General features: G+C 37.9%; 2 annotated features.

Annotated features, from left to right (window-relative positions):
• Window positions 20468-20557: an enhancer, noted in NCBI's record as "active region_16096". NCBI's record gives its function as "activates an Ori minimal core promoter by ATAC-STARR-seq in GM12878 lymphoblastoid cells {active_cell/tissue: GM12878}" and the evidence as "EXISTENCE:reporter gene assay evidence [ECO:0000049][PMID:35858748]".
• Window positions 20588-20647: an enhancer, noted in NCBI's record as "active region_16097". NCBI's record gives its function as "activates an Ori minimal core promoter by ATAC-STARR-seq in GM12878 lymphoblastoid cells {active_cell/tissue: GM12878}" and the evidence as "EXISTENCE:reporter gene assay evidence [ECO:0000049][PMID:35858748]".

Below are 22144 nucleotides of genomic sequence, written 5' to 3' on the forward strand. Positions count from 1 at the left end.
AAAGAGAGACTCAGTGGGATTTGGGGATTGAAGGTTATCACGTCCCCTAAGTGCAACTAAATTCCTCTACCCCAAATGTTAGTTCTCGTTCCTTGTCATTCAATGCTTGAAATTAAACATAAGAGGCTTGACAAAGATGTAAACTCAACTTACATTGCAGCATCAAACTTAGTATTTATTTTAAACTGTATTAATCCCGTGTCTATTAAAAGAATTATTTTGGGGGGTCCATCATAGAATATATCCAGTTCTGTATCTTGGACTGAGAGTTTAGTGCCCTCAGCCTGTAATTTCCTTCTCTAAACTCTTCAGTGCAGTAAGAAATAGCCAGCCAATTGCATGATTCTTAGTGTAACCATTACTACCATAATGGTCAAGTTCATTAGCACTTGGTCTCCAAATGCCTTATGTACTTTACTCCAAGCCACCACTGATAATTTAAGTACTTTCCATGGATTATCAGAATCCCATTTACCAATATCAATGAGCTCACTTCAGCTTACAAGTCTAATCAGGTAAGATAACCAATTCTATTTTCCAAAATCTGAGAGACAGTTAACTGGAACCATTCCTGTTTTAGTTTGGATCCCATCAGGAAAACGTATCCATTCTGGGTATTACAAAGAGAGTATCTTTTATATTAACAATGGTTTACAAATATGTTGGAAGGACCGGAGGAGCAAAATAAGAAGGGGTATTAGAAGATGAGAAAGAAAGAATATCTGTGTGTAACACTCAGCTCAAGTGGTAAATTCCCTGGGCTGTTACCCATAAGACTGCCTTATTTATTTTTGGAAGTACTATAGTTCCTGGACCTGGAAGAGTTCCTGAAGAGTTGCTGATGAGCTCAGGGTTTCTGGAGTTTGCAGTCACTTTGTCCCTCCTGCTGTAACAGGGTGAGACACTTTGTGGGAGCCAGGAAGAGAGACCTTCTCCCTTCCTCCTGCCTTCTAATCTCCTACCAGTGCTTCCCACTGGCCAACTTTAAACACATATATAAAAGTTATATTAATCTGGGAAATGTAGGGTTATTTTTTTCTATTACTCCAGTCCAGCAGTTCAGAGCAGAGTGTAAAAGTTATGGGTACGGGTTTGTCATGTTTGATATTGAGTGTCAACTTAACTTGATTGAAGAATGCAAACTATCGTTCCTGGGTGCGTCTGTGAGGGTGCTGTCAAAGATTAACCTTTGAGTCAGTGCATTTGGAAAGGCAGACCCACCTTCATTCTGGGTGGGCACAATCTAATCAGCTGCCAGTTTGGCCAGAATTAAAGCAGGCAGAAGAATGTGGAAAGACTGGACTGGCTAAGTCTTCTGGCCTCCATCTTTCTTCTGTTCTGTATGCTTCTTGCCCTCAAACATCAGACTCCAAGTTCTTCATCTTTTGGACTCCTGGGTATACACCAGTGATTTGCCAGGGGCTCTTGGGCCTTCAGCCACAGACTGAAGGCTGCACTGTTGGCTTCCCTACTTTTGAGTGTTTGGGACTTGGGACTGGCTTCTTGACTCCTTAGCTTGCAGAAGGCCTATTATGGGACTTCACATTTTGATCATGTGAGTCAATTCACCTAGCAAAGTCCCCTTCATATATTCATCTATCCTAATAGTTCTGCCCCTCTAGAGAACCCTGACTAATACAGGGTTTGAGCAACAATCTTTGAATACTGACAAATTGGAACCTTAAGTATATGATTTACCATATTAGACTTTATTGTAAGATTCATATTGTAATATAAAATCTATGGACATGATTTTTTTTTTTTTTTTTTTTTTAGATGGAGTCTCACTCTTGTTGCTCAGGCTGGGTGCAATGGCATGATCTCGTCTCACTGCAACCTCCACCTCCCAGGTTCAAGCAATTCTCATGCCTCAGCTTCCCAAGTAGCTGGGATTATAGGCATGAGCCACCATGCCCAGCTAATTTTGTATTTTTTGTAGAGATGGGGTTTCATCATGTTGGCCAGACTGGTTTCAAACCCCTGACCTCAGGTGATCCACCCGCCTTGTCCTCCCAAAGTGCTGGGATTATAGGCGTGAGCCACTGCACCCGGTCTGGATGTGATTTTTATTTGACATACTAATTAGGACTATCACCTCTCAGTGAGACAGGGTTCAAATTATGACTACCATATAGATTTAGTTTTATGACTTTCAACTTGATATTTCTCCTTAAAGGGGCTCTTCGTTTTTCTATTTGTAAAATGGGGGATATATGCCTTATTAAGTGGTGTATATTAAATGCGTCAACAGCCATGACACATAAAAGTCCTCTTCTAATATTTGTGCTGATGGTGGTGATGATGGCAATGTCCATGAAGATGTCAGCATTGGTAGTGATGATGCTGAAAGCTGATACTGATGATTTTTTCTCTATAGTGAGAGAATTCATTATTTTGCTTATATTTTCAAAGTGATCAAAGATTCTCCAAATGTTAATAATTACTACTAAGGGTAATAAGGGACTACTGAGAGTTTTGAGAAGGCAAGCGACATAAAGCAGCTTTGGGATTATTAACCTAATCATGGCACTATGGAAGGATGTTGAGCAGAGGTTATTTATTTATTTTTGAGATGGAGTCTCATTCTTGTTGCCCAGGCTGGCTTGCAATGGCACGGTCTTGGCTCACTGCCACCTCTGCCTCCCGGGTTCAAGTGATTCTCCTGCCTCAGCCTCCTAAGGACCTGGGACTACTGGCATGCACCAACCACGCCCAGCTAATTTTTTTTTTTTTTTTTTTTAAGTAGAGACAGGTTTCACCATGTTGGCCAGGATGGTCTCGATTGCTTGACCTCATGATCCACCCCCCTCGGCCTCTCAAAGTGCTGGGATTACAGGCATGAGCCACCACACCCTGACAAGTGGAGGTTAAAGAGAATGATACAAGACCATTACAGTCATTTATTAACAATTCTTTGCTAGGTATTAAACAAGTTATAAAGTTTTAAATTAAGAAAATTTTGATACAAGGTATTCCCTACTCTGAAGAAATTATGTAATTGGTATGTGATTGAGATTATTCATATGTGATGATATTTTTGAAATATAAGCAACAGATCTTGGTTCCTGAGTGTGAGAAATGAGAGAGAGTGGACATTAAGTAGGTCCTTTAACAGAAATAGCAAAATCAGGAGTAAATATCCAGTTGGAAGATACAGTATCAATTTTTATTTCCTCCTTCCTTTCTTTTCTGAAAAGAGAAGTTTTTTGCTATTTACAATATAAGACAATTTATTTTGTATTTTAACTTTTCTAAATTAAAAAATCTACCTACTTATTCCAGTTTTATAAAATAAGCATTGAAGTCAATTTTTCTACATTTTGACACTTCCCCTCTACAAATTTTTAACCTTCACAGATATTCTCTATGTTAGTATAATTCAGTCTTATGCAGGAGAACAATTCAGTCTAATGCAGGAGAATACCTCCACCATATAACGACTGGTACAATTGTCCCAATCAAGGCTGGGATTGATGCCTAGCAGCGACAATGAAGATGGCAATTATCCAAGCTCTATCATTGTGAGCAGCATCACTTACTCTCTTTGAAGATAGAGTGCAAACCATAAAGATGATGCATTCCAGATGCGAACTTTCTCAAGAACTATAAAGATTCCACCTCTAATAACCCGAAGTGTCAGAAATAGAAGGAATGCCCTTGGCAGAGAATATGCTGTGTTCGTTTCGATCCAGACACCTACTGCTACTTTGGTATCCTTCAATGGATTTTTATTTAATTTGGCTCTTAAAACATCCTTTGAAGGAGTGTTTGCTCAGCTCAGGGATCCTCCTAGCAGCAATGCCTGATCACTAGCAGGCTTTTTATTGGCTCTTCATGACAATGCAGGTCCCTGAACTTGTCTGTTTCCATTTGTAAGTCAATCCCTACCTCCGTAGCAGCCAACAGGTAATTTTTTTCTTTTTCCCACACAGACCCTATGGGGAAAAAAGGAAGCTGCAACATTGCTAGCACTTTAAAAATACAGTAGTCAGGCAGAAAAAAAAAAAACACAGTGTTACTTAGTGTCTTTTTCCTTGACAAAAGCCAAGTGGGAAATTCTGCTCTGATTGAAATCATTTAGGTAAACAACAATAACAGAAACAAAATTATATACTACACAGGCATACACATAGGCAATCACAAAAACACAATGTAGACAAATATATAAACTTAATCATCTATTGACAATGGAGGAAATCTTTGTGGCTCTATCAGCTGTGAATACTATATAACACCCTTCCTTAAAAATATGTTGGATGTGTGTGTGTATAAAATTGGGTATAGGCTAACTTCTTAAAGTTAGAAATATAAAAACCTTTCTAGATATTGTGGATTCTTCTATTCATGATTTTCTACATGGCTCTCTCCTGATTTCTTTTAAACAAAAGATAACTGTTCATCATATCCATAATGGCTTCCAAATCATTGAAGAGAAAAATATTTAAGTCAGTTGATCAATTTCCTAAAAAAAAAATTAAAAAAATTTTTGTCTCATATTGTAGTAGGCATGAATCCTGAGGCATAAAGAACCATACTTTTTCCCACTCTTACCTTGGTACAAGTATCAAACCATTAAAAAACTTCACAGTCTTACTATCCTAGGAAGCTTCAAGAAATGGAAACACAAAATTCTGATACTTCTGGGAAGCTGGCTTATGTGACCATCATTGGATCAGGCTCTGATAATGCAATGAGAAGGCAAAGAACTTACATCGTTTCTGCTGACGTGTAAAAGGAAGTGGTACACTAGTAAAGGCTCAACAATCAACTGTCTGGAAAAAACAAACATGCAGTTTTTAGTGTTTTTTAATTTCCCTTGTGCAAATATTCCTATCAAGCCTGATTTCAAGCTATCACATGGCATCAGTGAATGCAAAAATGGAGATGAGAAGCACATAACTGGCTCTTCTAAGTCATTAGGAGTCAGTTCAAGCACACCACTGAAACATCTTCAGAAAGGGACTGAGCTATGTTGAGTGTCATAATTTGAAGGACAAAACATCTTTTAATGTTTTTCCCGCCCAACTCTTCTACAGAAAGTTGAGGCTAATTTTCTCTCTCAGCACAGTGGTGCTGCTTGGTAGGCAACATGATAACAATAAAATCTAAAAGTTTTGGGCATAATCATGTTTATCTACTTTCATGGCAACCCTAAAATGGCACAGCTACTGAAAAAAAAAGGTTCCTGGCACTCGTAAGAATTTCCTTTGAGATTATGGGACTTATTCATAAAAGAGTTGCTTTGTATTCTCTATTAGGACAAGACAAATTAGAGAGGTTTTCATTATTCCCCAAACCCCTGTTACTCAAAGTGTGATATATGGGCCAGCAATATCTGCATTACCTCAGAGCATGTTAGAAAAGCAAAATCTTAATCCTAAACCTAGAACAAATGCGTCAGAATCTCTATTTTAAAAAAAAATTCCCATATGTTTTGCATGCACATTAAAGTTTGAGAGACACTGCCCTAAATCACTGTTTTAAAGTTTTTCTTAGGTAGTATGAGATCTTCTGTTTCATTAAAACTTACACATTCTTTCTGAGGTGAATCTTTGTAATCCAAGTCTTTACTATTCTGGCTGAGTCAGAGAATATGGATGTATCAATGTAGTCCCTCCTCAGTTCTGGCAACTAAAAGCACTGCCAATATTTAATGGGAGTCCATACTCAATTTAGTGTATATGACAAAGGCTAACTCTCACTTTTAGGAACCAGAATTGAAGGTGAAGGTTGCTCAGAATTTCATAATGTGAATACCAGTAGAAAAATGACTGGAAGGAAATATATCAAAATGATAATAATGTTTATCTCAAGGTAGTGAAATTTTAGGCACTTTCTTCTTTTCAAAAAATATCTTCCAAATTTTTTACAATCTGGTTTCATTTTAAAAACTTCAAAAAGAGGCCAGGTGAGGTGGTTCATGCCTGTAATCCCAGCACTTTGGGAGGCCTAGGCGGGCGGATCACAAGGTCTGGAGTTTGAAACAAGCCTGGCCAACATAGTGAAACCCCGTCTCTGCTAAAAATACAAAAATTAGCCGAGTGTGGTAGCATGCACCTGTATTTCCAGCTACTGGGGAGGCTGAGGCAGGAGAATTGTTCAAATCTGGGAGGCGGAGGTTGCAGTGAGCCTAGCCGAGACTGTGCTATTGCACTCCAGCCTGGGCGACAGAGCGAGACTCCGTCTCAAAAAACAAAACAAACAAACAAACAAAAACTTCAAAAAGAGAGAAAAAAACATAAAATAGAAATCCTCTGTGAGTTTTTCTATAGATGCAATCAATGGGTAGTTATTTATGATTTATGATGTCTTTAACTCCTACATATCAGTTATTTTATTAGCGTAATTAAATATTCCTAATTATTTGTTTTGCACCTGTTCTTTAGCCACAGAACTGCCCTTCTCATAAAAGCAGGGAACATTTCTAGCATGCCTTCTGGAAATAAGTGGGTACTTAATAAATATTTATTAAATTAATGGAAGACAAGGAGGGATAAGTAGTATGATTTGGGGAAGCTTAACCAGAGTCAGATATACATTTTAAAGTTAGTGAAATAAGATTTTCCTATTCTCATTTCTCCTTTCTTTCAAATCTTTTATTTTCCCAGCCTCCACAGCTTATTGCCCCCTTTTGGGTCTCAACGTCTTCTCTCTCTCTCCTTCTCTATCTCCTCTCCAAATGGACCTTAGGTACACAGCATTAGATAAATCAGAATTCTTAATTTAGGCCTGACTCACATCATGGTTCCACACCTGTAATCTTTCCCTTTATTTACAGGTTTATTTTGAATAATATACTTAACACTGTGAATCTATCGCTCAATCTATTAAGAACATTGACAGTAATCTAAATAGACCTATATTCTCCCTCCCTGTTTTCACCCACAGTAAATACCATGCTTAATTTTATGTTTATTCCACAAATATTTTTAAATAATTCTATCATATATATAATCTAAGCTAAAAGATATTTAATGTTATTATTCTTGAACTTCATGAAAAAGGCACCATGCTGTATATAGTTCCCATAACTTACTTCTTTCACATCATGTAACCAGGCTTCATCCATGTTATTGCATGTAGATGGAGTGTATTCATTTTCACTCAGTATATCTCAGCTGCAGTGGTATATTTCAGCCACTGTCTTCAAAATTAGACAAATGGTAATGACATTGTTCCTGGCAAAGCCTAATGGCCTGTTCTCTTTTCCAAAAAAAATATGTTCAGAAAGATATATGATCTACCAACTATGAAATTCTGTAGATGTGATACTTTCTTGTAACATGAAAAATAAGGAATAATTTGTTATTTTTTAAATGAACCATCTTATATTTGTAAGGCCTGGAATAGCACTTGATACTAGATAACTAGAAATAGTGGGCTAATTTAGGAGAAATATTTCTGGTTTTAATGTTATTCAGTATCATATATGGGATGGTTGTTGAGGGAGATGAAAATCTTAGACTCTGACTGCAAGTCATATCTTCTTCAAACCACTCAGTGTGTAGAAATTTTAAACCTTTCTAGCTCCAAATATATCTGTTTTGTTTCATTTAAATTAATTAAAGTATTCGTTCATTATAATTTCAGGATATTTGAACTCCCCACAAGACCATATGAAAGAGAAATGATATTTATCCTTGAGATGAAGTAACAAGTATGGCCAGAATCAGTGAGCCATAGTCCAATAGGCTCAAGTGAGATAGGAACATTTTGTCTACAATAACATTTCAATCACTGAATATCATAACAGACCTGGTATCAGTCTCCATTCTGAAGAAAGAAAAGTCAAAAGATGGACCAAAACAAGATCATAGATTTCAACTGAAAACTAAATTCGTTGATATGTCCCTTGCTTAGTCCACAATTGACGTTGTCTCCTAAAAGGTGCGGCACATATATCTTTGTATCAGTTTCCTTCTCTGGATTACTTGTGAGTCCCTTCTAGCCATTCATACCTGGTAATTTTATGCACTCCTTTCACTCTTCAGCGGTAGGGAATGAGAAGGCAGACTCAAATTGGTGAGCACGCGTCCTTTCGGAGCTTTCATCCATCTATCTATCTATCATCTATCTATCTATCTATCTATCTATCTATCCATCCATCCATCCATATTTTTTTTTTTGAGATGGAGTCTCGCTCTGTTGCCCAGGCTGGAGTGCAGTGGCACGATCTCAGCTCACTGCAAGCTCCGCCTCCCGGGTTCAAGCTATTCTCCTGCCTCAGCCTCCTGAGTAGCTGGGACTACAGGCGCCCGCCACCATGCCTGGCTAATTTTTGTATTTTTAGTAGAGACAGGGCTTCACCATGTGGGCCAGGCTGGTTTTGATCTCCTGACCTCATGATCTGCCCACCTCGGCCTCCCAAAGTGCTGGGATTACAGGCATGAGATTATAGGCATCTTTAAAGAGTCCAATATTCCTCCTAGACTGCTGTGAAATTCAAGGAGGAAACCTTTTCATAACTATTTTAACAAAATGCTTTTGCTGTTGTTGTGAATCTTTTTCTACATGTATCTACAGACATACTGAATACTTGTTTTCTTATGAAAATCTGCTCCTAATATTAGAAAATCAGGTAGGGTAAAGCTGAGAAATAATGTTTAATCTGGGAGGCAATGAGTATGGCCTGGGTTGAATTCTTGTTTTACCACAAATGACCACTGTAATTTGAGGCAGGAGACTTTACCTTCAAATGTTTTTTTTATTTTTTCATCTCAAAACTGAAATAACAATAGATACCTCAGATGATTATTGTGAAAGTTAAATTACATAATGCTTATGAGAATTCCTAGCATAGCAGGCACTCCATAAAGATTTGTGGATTCTGAGGAGGGCCAGTGGAGGGGATACTTGGAGAACTTTTAGGTTTGATTTTCCCAGCACAATGAAGTACTGACTCTCATTTTAATGACAAGTGTGGTGAAGGCACTTTGCTCAAGGAAGCAATTTGCATTAATGTTAATTAATTAATGATAATTAATGAGTAGTTTTTTTTAGGTTAAGTGTCCAAGGCCAGATGTTTGCATCAGTTCCATAGCTAGGTATGGGAGTAATTCTCATGCCCTCCAAAGGGCTCCAGCTTCATTCTTTCATCCGGAGACAGCCCTCAAGCTAAATGGTAGCCTGAAAAGACTGTCACCTTTATGGTAGCCCCACTCTACACTCCCTCCGTACAAGATATCAGGCCTGTGGTTGAAACTTCAGGAACAGAGTTCATTCCAAATATCTCAGCACATCTCTTAGAGCCATCAAGCCATCTTGTTATTGCCACCTGCAACATATTCTTAACACCAAACCAACAAACAAATGTCAAAACAACATCAACAACAAAACATCGAAACTCTTCTCCCCATCTATTCAATTAGAGGTGTCATGGCAGACTGCAGGGGAAATCTCATTTTTGCTCTGAATAAATATTGCTCTGGGTTGTTTGTTGTTTGCAGAACACTCATACTTTTCTAATTCCTACTTTCTTACCCCCAAGATATGTTGGTCAAGTGGCCTATATATGTATATATTTTAAAATATTTCTAGATTTTTTGTGCGTGTGTTTGTATGCATATATGTGGGTGTGTATGTATAAAATCTTGAAAACCTCTGCCACATTTAAAAATGCCACAGGAAAAAAATATTCTTAGGATCTATGTCTATGTCTAGATCTATGTAAGATTGAGAACCACTGCCAATGTTACTAAAAAAAATCATTAAAATCATTTTTGTGCCTCAGTTTCTTTATCTGAAAAACAGGGTTAACAAAGGTATATTTTAAAAAGTAGAGATAATGTATAATGCAAAAAGGATCTGGCACAAAGGAAGTATCCACTGTATATTGTTTATTCTTATTCTTGACAGTGTGAGAAATGTTTATTATACGGGCTAAGTAAAAGTAGCATCATCCCAGATATATAAAAGACATAAGTTACGTAGATTCAGGCAAAAATACCAGCAAGTTGCCCTGGATATAGAGTCTGTTATTTCTAGACCAAGACATTCATAGAAGGGCAAACCGTCTTACTTGCAAGGAACTTTGGAACTCATGTGATTTAGTTTCCTTTCCTATGCAGAAATCCCCCTTTAAACTATGGTTCTTTGGAACCTAAGCCAATAAATTAGGTTCAGAGATTATCTGGAGAGCAGATCTTGCCCATACTTTACCGTAAGGGGTAAGGATTAAAGTCTCCATTCCCAGTGGGCATAGTTTCAACCAGAGAATGCCAAAGATGCTATAGAGGAATGGAGGATTTAATCCTTACCCCTTACAATAGCCCATGGTTAAGTTTAACATTAAGATTTGCTCCTGGTAAATGTTATTGGGGAAACAAGGTTTTTATATTCCCAGGACACCTTGTGGCAATCTCTCTTTCCCCAGACATAAAGCTAAAGGCCATGTGGTTTTTAAATTCCCCACTTTTTCCATAATAAAACATAGCATCTGGATATAATCTGACTCATCATTGGCTTAGAGATGCAAATGTCTACGGATGCTCGGTGCAGATACTTTTTAAGGTAACTGGAAGTAATTCCCTATTTGACTGAAACTATGTAATAAAAATAAGATTTTCTGGTGCCAAAGACCTATGTAGGAGGCTCTTTCTGCTTGCACGCAAGGGAAGGAACAGAGAATGCCTTTAATTCTGGCTTTGATTTAAATCTGCATCACCATTTACCAATTGTAAGCCAATGAGCAAGTCATTAAACCACTGTAAGCCTCAGTTTCCTCATTTGTAAAATGGGGATAATTGTAGCTGCCTCACAGTGATGTACAATTAAATGGGGATAATATTTATAATTAGAGTATCTGACCAAATGTATTAAATAAATTTAGCTACTATAAAGATCTAATTAAAGGAGAGTTATTATTGCTATTATTATATTTATTCTCTGTGGTTTTCAGGCTGTCTATTGACCATATATATGCTCTGCAGGGACACGGAGAACTGTATTTTCTCAGCCATGCTGTGGAGCCAAATAGCAGAAACCCAGGCAGCCTGTAAGGAGAAGCAAGACAAATTCAAGAGATTGCAAGGGGATCTCGTTGAACTGAGCCTGGAATTACATGAAAAGAAATCTTTTAACAGTTATTTCCTATTCAAAAAAGACTTGGTGCATTATTCAATTCCATCGTACTGGGAGCTTTGCTCCTTCACATTCATGCTTTCAAATCTTACTCATTACTGCCCTAGCCTGGATGGGGTGAAGGAAGCTGGAAAAGAAATTCTGGGCAGTAGATCACAAAGGAGATATTTGCAGGGATGAGAATAGCTCTAGCTTCCTACCTACATTTGTGAGTTACTTTTAACTTTTCAAAATACTTTCATGCCTACCTTCTCTATTGGGGTGGGTAGCAAGCACCTTGGACCCCTAGATAGAAAACTCCTAGATAATAGAACCTCTAAACCCCTGCCTACTCATTCAGTTTCTTGAACACATTCTGAATAATAAGAACACTACAGCTATTATAACAGCATAATTTACTTAGCATCTGCCACGTGTGCAATACGTGCTGAATATCTCATATACATTGTCTATATAGTTTTTAAATCAACTCTTTGAAATAGCCGGTTTTGTTTTTTCATCTCAGTGACTTGGTATAAGGGTCCTATAGATACTAAGTAGCAGATCTTGGATTTGAACACAGGCATGTGACACAAAATTTGTGCTTTAACAACTCTACTAAAATTCTGAAGACTTCGTCCTATGTTTGGAAATAGTTAAGGGATACAGAGACCGGTAGAAGCCTCTGTCCTGTGCTACAAGAACAGAGCAGACCCTTAGAAGCAGAATAACATTTCACTGTCAGTGTTTATTTAAGTGGTCGAAGTCAATTTCAAGAGACATAGAGGGCAGAGAAAGAGTGATTTTAAAGGACCTAGAGGAGAAGCAATAAATACAGCTGAAAACGTGGGGGACAGGAAACCACCATCAGAGTGTAGGTCAGCTAAGTAGTTAGGAAGTGTTGCATGAAAGGAAGAAGCTTCAGTAAAATGTCATCTGTGACCTGTTTAGGTAACTACATATCCTGCTAAGTTAAATAGATGTCAGTCCCAGCCAGCTGGCTTTCATTTGGGAAAAAATATAAATAAAGAAGTAACCCTTAATGAGTCAGTTCAGAATTTGTGGAATCCTTCAGCAAAAAGAGATTTCAGAGGAGTAGAATGGGGAAAGAATAGGAGTATCTCTTCAGAAACAAGGAAGAGTCACTCAGAAATGTTAATTGACTTGCCTCAGATCAAAATTTCTCTGGGACTAACTCAGGTTACCTGGGACATTACCTTTTGTGCTAACTATTTGAGAATTAATGAAAAGAAAAAAAAACCTAAGTTCTCTAAAGTTAAAATTTTTCATTTACCTATAACCAAAGGACTCATTCGTTCAGAAAGCTGTGGGACGCCTTTGTGAACAATGGATGCAACAGCTAGGCCTGGATCACACGAATTACAATCAACCCTTCCTTACCCTATTTGTGATGTTTCTGTGCTAAGGGAAGGCATTTTCACATTATCTTCTCTGTTCTCATCTGAGTCTTATGCCTTTTATATTTTGTGCCTCTTCTTAAATTATACCTCTTTCTCAAGATTGTATCCCACCAGCCCTGTGGGCCCTTAGCTGTCCTCAGCAAGCTGTCTCTATTCCAGTTCAGCCTGTCCTTCAGCCTGTCCATCAGGCTTCTCACCATGGGGTTGATGAAAGTCTCATCTCCCCAAGACCATGCTTTCCTTAGAACCAAGTATTGTGTCTCTTTTATACAGACCAATAGTACACCAACCAAGGATGTACTCAATAAACCTTTGCTGATTGACTACAGCATTGGCTTTTTCTCAACCAGAAATTATAAAATGTTAAAAAAGTTGTGCTGAAATACAGCATTTACTGGGCTAAAGGGCAAGTTTGGCTTTCCAGTAAGTTTCAACTTTAATCAGATCACTTGTTGGGGTTGGGTAAGAATGTGGCTGTTGTCATGATTTGGGGACCCTAATGATTCCAGCTGTGTCTACTCAGCCAATGGCACAGAATCCGTGATAGCCGAGGTCATGAAGAGTCACCTTCCTGATCCGACCCCCTCCATCTTGGTTCTGCTGCTATTACACTTTTCTATACCACCTCTTCTTATCCCTAGCAGATGACATAGAAATGGAATGTATTATTTGGAAGCATACTGAAAGATACAGTAGATTCTTATTGTTTATGGTAGTGATATTCTGTAAAATCAATGCAAACATTGAATTAGTGAATACTAAATCATTGTTCCTAGGGTAGATACAGGATTAGGTTTCTGAGAGCTACTATGCACAACATTTTCTGCAACCATTCAATACATAACCCTGTTTAATGGATGTTTCTGTTCAGACATTATATTGTATATTGTTGATTCATTAACATCACATGCACAGCCAACTGCACTATTTCTTGTGCCTGAATGAAGCTTTTCTAACATATGCAATTTCTCTGTAAAGCACATCAAAGTCTTCTTGTGCTTTGTGTCACTAGGCATCACTTCAGCTCTCTGCCTGGGGATCATTTTAAATAGCAAAATTACCAACATAAATTACAAAAATACAAAAAATATGTCACCAAACAGACTGCGAAAAGAATTATTTACTGTACTAGAACTTAAACAAGAAGACAGAGCATTGTCTCGTTGGACTGCTGCTGGGAATGTGCACTTTGGTGACTCAAATTTTTTGTGACTCTCTGCATGTGCATGTCTGTCAACGACCATGAAGGTGTTCAAGTATTGATTTGTGAGTAACAAACAAATTTTGGCAAATAGATGAATTGGTAAATACAGAATCAATGAATAATGAGGACTGAATGTACCTTTAAATGGTATCTACTTTCATTTGGCATTTTTATGTCTTAGATCTGGGGATTCTCCATTTATCCACTTCAGTGAAATGGCCCATGTTCTCTTACAGGGGAAAGAAAATCCATACGTAATCTGGAATTCAAACGATCTCAAGCAATGAGAGCCATTTTAACATTTGTAATTATGCTTTACCGCCAAAAGAGTTGTTTGGGCTTTATAGAAATTGGAGCTCATAAGAATGTAGACTTCGCTATCATAGAGATCTAAATTTAAAACCAGATTATGCTACTGATTAGGTGAGTAGTCACCCACCTTCTTGCACAGAAGCTGTCTTATTTCTAACGACAAAATATAACAATATACATATTTTTTGCAGGGCTTGAAAGAACATACATGGAAAATGCCTGCCATGAGGGCACACTGAGTTTACTCTTTTTCTTTCCTTCCCATTCAAGGTATTCTGGAATGAAGCATATTTAGTCATTGTGTTTTCCACAATGCTGAGGTGGAGGAACATGCAGCCTGAGACTATGTATAGGAACTGGCTATTAACACAGGTTAATTAAAAAACATATATTGTGTTCTTCTCTAATCAAAATATGATTATTACCAAGAGGTGAGTCTTGTTTCAAGCAGTGGGGAGGGAATGAACAGAATCATCCAAATTACAACTATAAAAATAGGTATACATTTGGACAAAGTCTGCAAGAGAATACACAGAAATCAAAATAGTTGTTTCCAAGCGATGGAATTATGGAAATTTTTTTCTTCAAAATGTTCTCAAATGTTATACGTTCTTTTTACAATACAAATGCAGTGCATATGAAAAGAATTATAATGAATGAAGCAATCAGGGATTGTCTTGAAGCAAAGCAGTAACATGAAATCAAGATAATGTAGATGAGAGATGATTTACATTATTTTGTTCCCACCAAGCGAAGGGCATTTTCCAGAAGCCTAAGATGGTGGATCAACAAAGAGTGTTGACAACAACACAGGGTAAAGAGAGGTGAGAAGGGGGTACAAACATGGCAGGCCCACTATCAACCCATTTCCAGACTGTTTCTCTTGCCCCTCTTCTGACTTTCAGCATTGATTCCTGTTAATCTGCACTTTATTAACAACTTTTTCCACTCCATGCTTCCGTCATCTCCTCTTCCCTACACCAAATTGACATGCAACTTCCCAAGGATTGCCTAAGACTAGTCAGTACATTGAGCAGAAATGATAGGAAGCAAGCCCCTGTCCAGCTTTCAGAGGGGTTTAGTATTGCGACGTGTCAAAATCTGTGGGGAGCTGCCGGTGGTAGAATAAGCAGGTGGGGAGAGAACGGAAGTTTGTCAGGCTAAGCGTCCAGATTGATGCATTCTATTCCATGCTATTATAAATATTCTTCTTTTGAAATTGTATTTGACTTTGTATTGGGGGGAGAAATCATAATTGAGTTTAAAACTGTGGATCTTTGTCCTGTAGTATGGTATTAGGACTTAAATTCTATTTCCATGTACATATTTCATCCAATAAAATTTAAAATACTGGCTCAAGCATAACTGGTATATAATTTTATTGTCATGATAGCCAATCCGTTATAAATTAAATCAAGCTTTCACACACTAATATCAACTCACACATTTATTCTAACTACCAAATAGTACTTGATTCTAGACTTGTCATATCTTTTTTGGGCCCTGAAAAGGTATTACCATGTCTATTTTAATATTTCATCTATTTTTTAGAACTGTTATTTAAATTTCACAAGACCTCTAGTTGCTGCCCTACATATTTTTTTAATTTATATACACCGTATATTAGGGCCTGTGTTAAAGTCTGGATACTGTTGGACAAAATACAACAATTTGGTGCCCAGAAAAATGAACTGTGAAAATCATTAATGCTTTTCACAAAACAGTGTGGCGTTTGCCTTATAATCACATGCAACAATTAAACATCCATGCCCTCTTCTAACATTGCTAAGGACATGTGATTTGCTCTGTCCAATGAAACCTGTACAGAAGTGTTACTTCTGAGAGGTGAACATTAAAAGCCAGTGCACAATTACCCACTTTTTCCCTTCCCATCACTTCAGTGATTCAAAAACTCTTGGCAAGATGAAGCCTTGGTCAGTTTGGGGATGTGAGAAATCAAGAGGAGCAGAGCTTTCTGCTGATCTGTGGTGAGCACATACCATTGGGTAAGGAATAGACATCTGCTTTGGTAAGCCCATGAAATTTTTTGGAGCTATTCGTTACCACAGCATAATGGAGTTTTCTTAGCTGAATTATAATGAATAAAGATCTGAGAAGTTTCTCAAGTGTTATTCATAGCTTTTAGAAAAAAATGTGTTATTTAGCATTTGATACAAAGGAAATATATATGAATTGTTCAGTCATCCCTTGGTATCTGTAGAGGATTTGTTCCAGGACCCTCCCAAAATACCAAAATCTACAGATTTTCAAGACACTTATATAAGATGGTGTAGTATTTGCATATAACCTATATACATCCTCCTGTAAACTTTAAGTCATCTCTAGATTATTTATAATACCTAATACAACTATCATAGGCTTAACTACATTTTTGATCCACGGTTTGTTGAATTCATGGAAGCAGAACCTGTGGATCCAGGGCTGATTCCATATGTACGCTAATAAGTATAAAAATGCAGCAAACAGCCATAAACTTATCACCCAATTTAAGAACTGGAACATTCATACATTGTTTGAAACTGTCTTTAGGCTTCTCCTACATCCTAACACATGGCCTCCTCCTTAGATATAAGTATTTGAAACAAAACAGGTTAGAGAAAGTGGTCCCAACCATTTTGGCACCAAGGACTGGTTTCGTGGAAGACAATTTTTTCCATGGAATGGGTGGTGAGGGGGTGGGTATGGTTTTGGGATGAAACTGTTCTACCTTAGATCATCAGGCATTAGTTACAGATTCTCATAAGGAGCGTGCAACCTAGATCCCTTGCATGTGCAGTTCACAATAGGGTTCACGCTCCTATGAGAATCTCATGCCACCACTGATCTGACAGGAGGTGGAGCTCAGGCGGTAATGCTCACTCAAGGCTCACCCCCTGTGTTGTGCAGCCTAGTTCCTAACAGGCCATGGACTGGCGGGTCCTGGTCCATAGCCCGGGGACAGGGGACTCCTGACATAGGAGACTGCATTTATAATATCATCTTTGTAAAGTACTCATTGTCTTTTCAATCACATTCTTTGAATATATGAATAATTACTACCACTACTGTGATACTATGGTAACAGGTACTGAGCACTTACTATTTGCCTAATAATGTTTATTAACTTTTTATGTACTTATTCCTTTGTATGAGGTAGGATCTATCGCTAGGAGTACAGGCATGAGCTACCACACTGGGCCCCAGAGTTCTCTTTATATAGCTGGTTTAGTAGACAGATAGTTACTTTCAGAATGCATTTTTAATTGCAGTTGGGTAAAATGCTTCTACTCATTTTAAAGATGAAACAGTTAAAGGTCCAGTATTAAATTTCTTATTTAAGATCAGATATATTAACAATGACAGATCTGGAACATTTGGTTCCAGTATTAGATTCTCTCTGTGGCTGCAACAAATTACCACAAACTTGGTGGCCCAAAACAAGAGAAACTTATTGTCTTATATTGGTTCAAAATGGGTCTTTCTAAAACAAAAGTGTTGGCAAGGCTGAATTCTTTCCGGAGGGTCTAGGGAAGAATCCATCTCCTTATCCTTTTCAGCCAGTAAGGCCACCTGCCATCTTTGGGTGTGGCCCCTTCCTCCATTTTCAAAACTAGCACCTTAGCATCTTCAGATCTCTCTCTGACTCTGACTACCCTGCCTCACTCTTTTACTTATAAAGACCCTTGTCATTAGAGCGGGTTCACACAGCTAACCCAAAATAATTTCCCCATCTCAAGATATTTAACTTAATCTTATCTGCAAAGTCCCCTTTGCAATGTAAGGTAAAACATTCACTAGGTCCAGCCATTAGGATTTGGACAACTTTTTGGAGACCATTATTCTGCCTGCCACAGGTTCAAAACCTATTGTGTTAGTCACTATGCTATACTGCCTCTTGGGGGATGATAGTCCTACAGCCCTATTTTGAAGTGTCATGTTTAAAATCAACAACAGTAACAACTGCAATTAAAAATGTATTCTGAGAGTAACCATCTGCGTACTAAACCAGCTACATAAAGAAAACTCTGGGACTGAGTGTGGTGGCTCATACCTGTAATCCTAACACTTTGGGAGGCTGAAGTGGGAGAATGCTTGAGCTCAGGAGTTTGAGACAAGCCTGGGCAACATAGTGAGAACCCATCTCTATAAGATTAAAAAATATTAAAATAAAAAGTAGAAAGAACTCTGATCTCCTAATTTGAATCCAATCTATCAATTTTTAATGTGTTTTATAATGGAGTTATAGACTTATACAGGGGTGGAGTCCTATCCGTGCCATTTTTTATTATTAACAATATTTTATAGATAAAGAACATGAGGACGTTTAAGTACCTTGCATGATATAACACAGTAAATAAATGGTGAGTTATCTCATGACACATAAATTTTGCTGAACAAGTATAATAGGAATTCATTGTTGGGAGTTTGAGGAGGAATAAATCACAATGGGTTGGAGTACTTAGGGACATTTTAATTCAGTTTTGGATATTGAATTGTACCCTGGAGGAATATCAAGATCTATAATTAGAGAATTTTTGTAATTCTAAATATTAACTTCAGTAATGTACATTGCTGTCTTACTCTGGGCTGGGGGAATGTGCTAGGTATATTCACATATTAAAACCAACAAACAAAAAAACTTGATGAGATGACTAAAACCCCCAGTCATTACACATAAATATGCTTGTTTTCTTCCTATGTGAAAGAAGACTCTGAAAAGTGAAGAGAAAAGGCAGACTAGCTCAGGACCTCAGGATTCAAGCAAGAACATGGTGTTGAGTTCTTTGTGTTTCTTTTTGTCCCTTATATGCCAACCGGAAGCTGAAGAAGCTGGTAACCCAGAAATGCCAAAACAACAACCAAAAGTCTGAACAAAAGCTTGTTCCAGAAAGGGAATAGACTAGGAAAAATAAAACTTTTAGACAATAATCACTCTATTCCAACTAAACATGACAGATAAACTGTGGCCTCCACCCACACCCATACCACGAAGGGCAAAGTGGGGAGCCTAGACCCTCCTGCTTCAGAGGCTATTGTGAGGTGCCCCCAGACCTCCACCAGAGAATTGGCAGAGACGGTTGAGTGGGAACCCAGGACTTTTCATCCCCACTGGATTATAGCAAGGTCCTCCTGCCCCCTGTAGTGTCAGCGGAGACCACGAGTCCTCCTGCTCCATGTGGTGTCAAGCGGAGACCACTTCCATTCCCACAACTATCCGTAATGAAGCAATGCCTGTCTCTCCTTTGGGGTTCTCTTAGAGGGTCAAAGGAGGCTTAATGAAGTCATGACTTTCACCACTCCCATGGTAACCAAGCGTACCACCTACCTCCCATTACGGTGTCAGTGGAAGCCTTGAGGGGCATAGTAAAGAGGCATTCCTACCTCTCTCAGCCAGGGAGATGCCAGCGGAGGCCTAGTGGGAGCCAAGACTCCCACCCCAACTGAGAGTAATGCGGAGCCTTTCACTTGGGTGTCAGGGGAAGCCACATAAGCCTTACATAAAGAAAGGCCAAAATTATAGAAATGGATAACAGATTAGTAGTTACCAAGGGTTAAGAGATAGATGTGTGTGGCTATAAAAAGGCAACAAGAGGGATTGTTGCCATAATGGGAGTCCAGTATTTTGTATCTTAAGTGTATCAATGACTGTATCTCATCTGATACTGTATTAGTTTTTCAAGATGTCACCATTGAGGGAAACTCTAAAGGGTATACCAGACTTCTCTGTATTATTTCTTATAACTGCATATGAATCTATAATTATCTAAAAAATTTTAAATTATGAAAAAAATCTTGATGAAGCATAGCTATTATACTTAGAAAGCCATGATATTGAGGTAACATACAGAATTTTTGTGTTGTTAAGACAGGGTCTCACTCTATTGCCTAGGCTGGAGTGCAGTGGTGCAATCACAGCTCACTGCAGCCTTGATTTCCCAGACTCAAGTGATCCTCTTGCCTTAGCCTTCTGAGTAGCTGAGACTACAAGCATGTGCCATCACACCCAGTTGATTTTTAAATTTTTATTTTTAGTAGAGATCAGGTCTCGCTATGTTGCTCAGGCGGGTCTTGAACTCCTGAGCTCAAGCAATCCTCCCACCTCAACTGGACAAAGGGTTGGGATTACAGGAATGAGCCACCACAACCGGCCTACATGCAGTATTTTGATTAGGAGACCATGATATAGGTTTGTTCTGGAGAGGAGTAGACTCAGATACTCCAAATTTTAAGTACTCAGGAAAGTGATTATTGTTGCTCCGTGGTTTTTCTTATGCCAACTAACATTTTTAAAAGTCTAAAGAATTGGCTTGAAATTTAAACTATTAGTTTAGTGTATAAAATAAGATTGCCAAAAAGCCTGGAATATTCAAAATCACTAATTTGTGTTATCATCCCTAAGAAAAGATTTATATAGAAAGCAAATTGTCATAAAAGCCTTGTATAGTAAATATGCATTCAGGCCATGAAAGAATGGTTGTCAAATGACTGGCTCCCATAGCTTAAGGACCCTAAGGCACTGGGGGAATCCTCTTTAGAGTTTTTGCAAAAACCATTCACCACTTTCTCCTCCCTGTTTTCCTTTCACTTTCAATACCACATTCTAGTGACATGTTAATACTATGCACTGTTGATGTCTTACTGCTCTCATGCCTTCCCAAGTCTATTGTATAGGAAGGGAAGAGAAGGGACTAAGCTTTGTTGAGCACCTAGAGATCCAGTCTCTGAGGAATCAAGTCATGTAATACCCACAAAAATCATCCAGTAGGTATATTACTATTTTACACATGAGCATTTAGAAAGATTTAGGGTGTTTCTCGCAAACTATCAGTTAATTATTATCTGGGTCTGGCTTTTGCTACCTTCTTATTAGATTCTCAGAGAGCTAATTCACCTCCAACTCTGGGGGTGTTGCCCTGCTGTTACCTAACACGAACTGACCACATTAATAACATCACACAATGTAATTTACAAAACTGAAATTTAATAGGTTATATTTAATTGTTAACAATTAAATTATTAGAAGTGGTAGAATTAGATTTAGATTTTCTGCCTCTAAATCTAGCAGTCTTCTCTGATGACTTCTAAAATGTGATCAAGTGGATATAATACAACAGAAAAACATTTTTTCCTTTTCATCATTTCTGACAATGTAGCTAGAAACGAACTGGGCTATCCTTTTGACACACTAATGTTTGGCCACTTTCTTGATTTTCCCTGCAAGGATTCTATGTTTTTCTGTGTCCATTGTGTTCTAGAAAAGATGGGGTTGTGGTAACTACTTACAATTTTAGAGAAAGAGAGAAATGAGGAGTGATTTGGATGATGTGCTTTTTGTCCTGGTCTAAAACCAATAGGAGAAGAATCATCCTGTAATCCTGTCAGGAAATTTTCTCTTTGGTAGACTGCTTTTATAATATATCATGGCTCAGAAAGCCTGGAATTCTACTACTGGCCTATAAAATATAAAGAATTGGGACAACTGTTCTGTTCAATTGAGACCGTCACTGCTATACCTATGGGAACTTCCTAATTGATACATGTTCAAAATAGTTTGGAATTGAGAAAAAGAAAACACCAGCTATTTTTGAAATAATGAGACACTTTCTTAGCTATTATACACCAACTGAAACCTGTGCCACTGCCTAGAGTATTATAATTCCTGCATGAACAAAATTGGCCCAAATAATTATCCAATGCTTAAGGCAACATAAATAAAAGTTCTTACACTTCTAGGTTTCCAGTTAGTAAAAGATGTGCAGTGATGGGAGAGAAAGAGAAAAACACATTTGGCAGTGATCAGGTTAAAAAAAATAAATAAATTCATGCTCAGCCTTGCCATTTAGCAAAATAGTGAAGTTGTTAAAGTTTCTGAAACTCTTTAACCCCACTCAACAGCTCTCCTTTCAACATACAAATGACTAGTAGATGCTTTTTCTTGGTCTCTTGTTTTATATATTTTGCATTCAGAGGGTTGTAAACTAAAGGACAGTATTAACCATCGATTAGGGTATTGCCCAGTTAAGGTGACTGCCACATCAGAAGAATTTGCATATAAATTAATGCTTTTGAAAGCATTAAAGACTTAAATGAGAACTCTACTGGTACATATAGAGTCATTTCTTTAGATGGAAATTAGGCTGTGCAGAGT

This window comes from Homo sapiens, chromosome 2 (assembly GCF_000001405.40).
Source record: "Homo sapiens chromosome 2, GRCh38.p14 Primary Assembly".
Taxonomy (NCBI): Eukaryota; Metazoa; Chordata; class Mammalia; order Primates; family Hominidae; genus Homo; species Homo sapiens.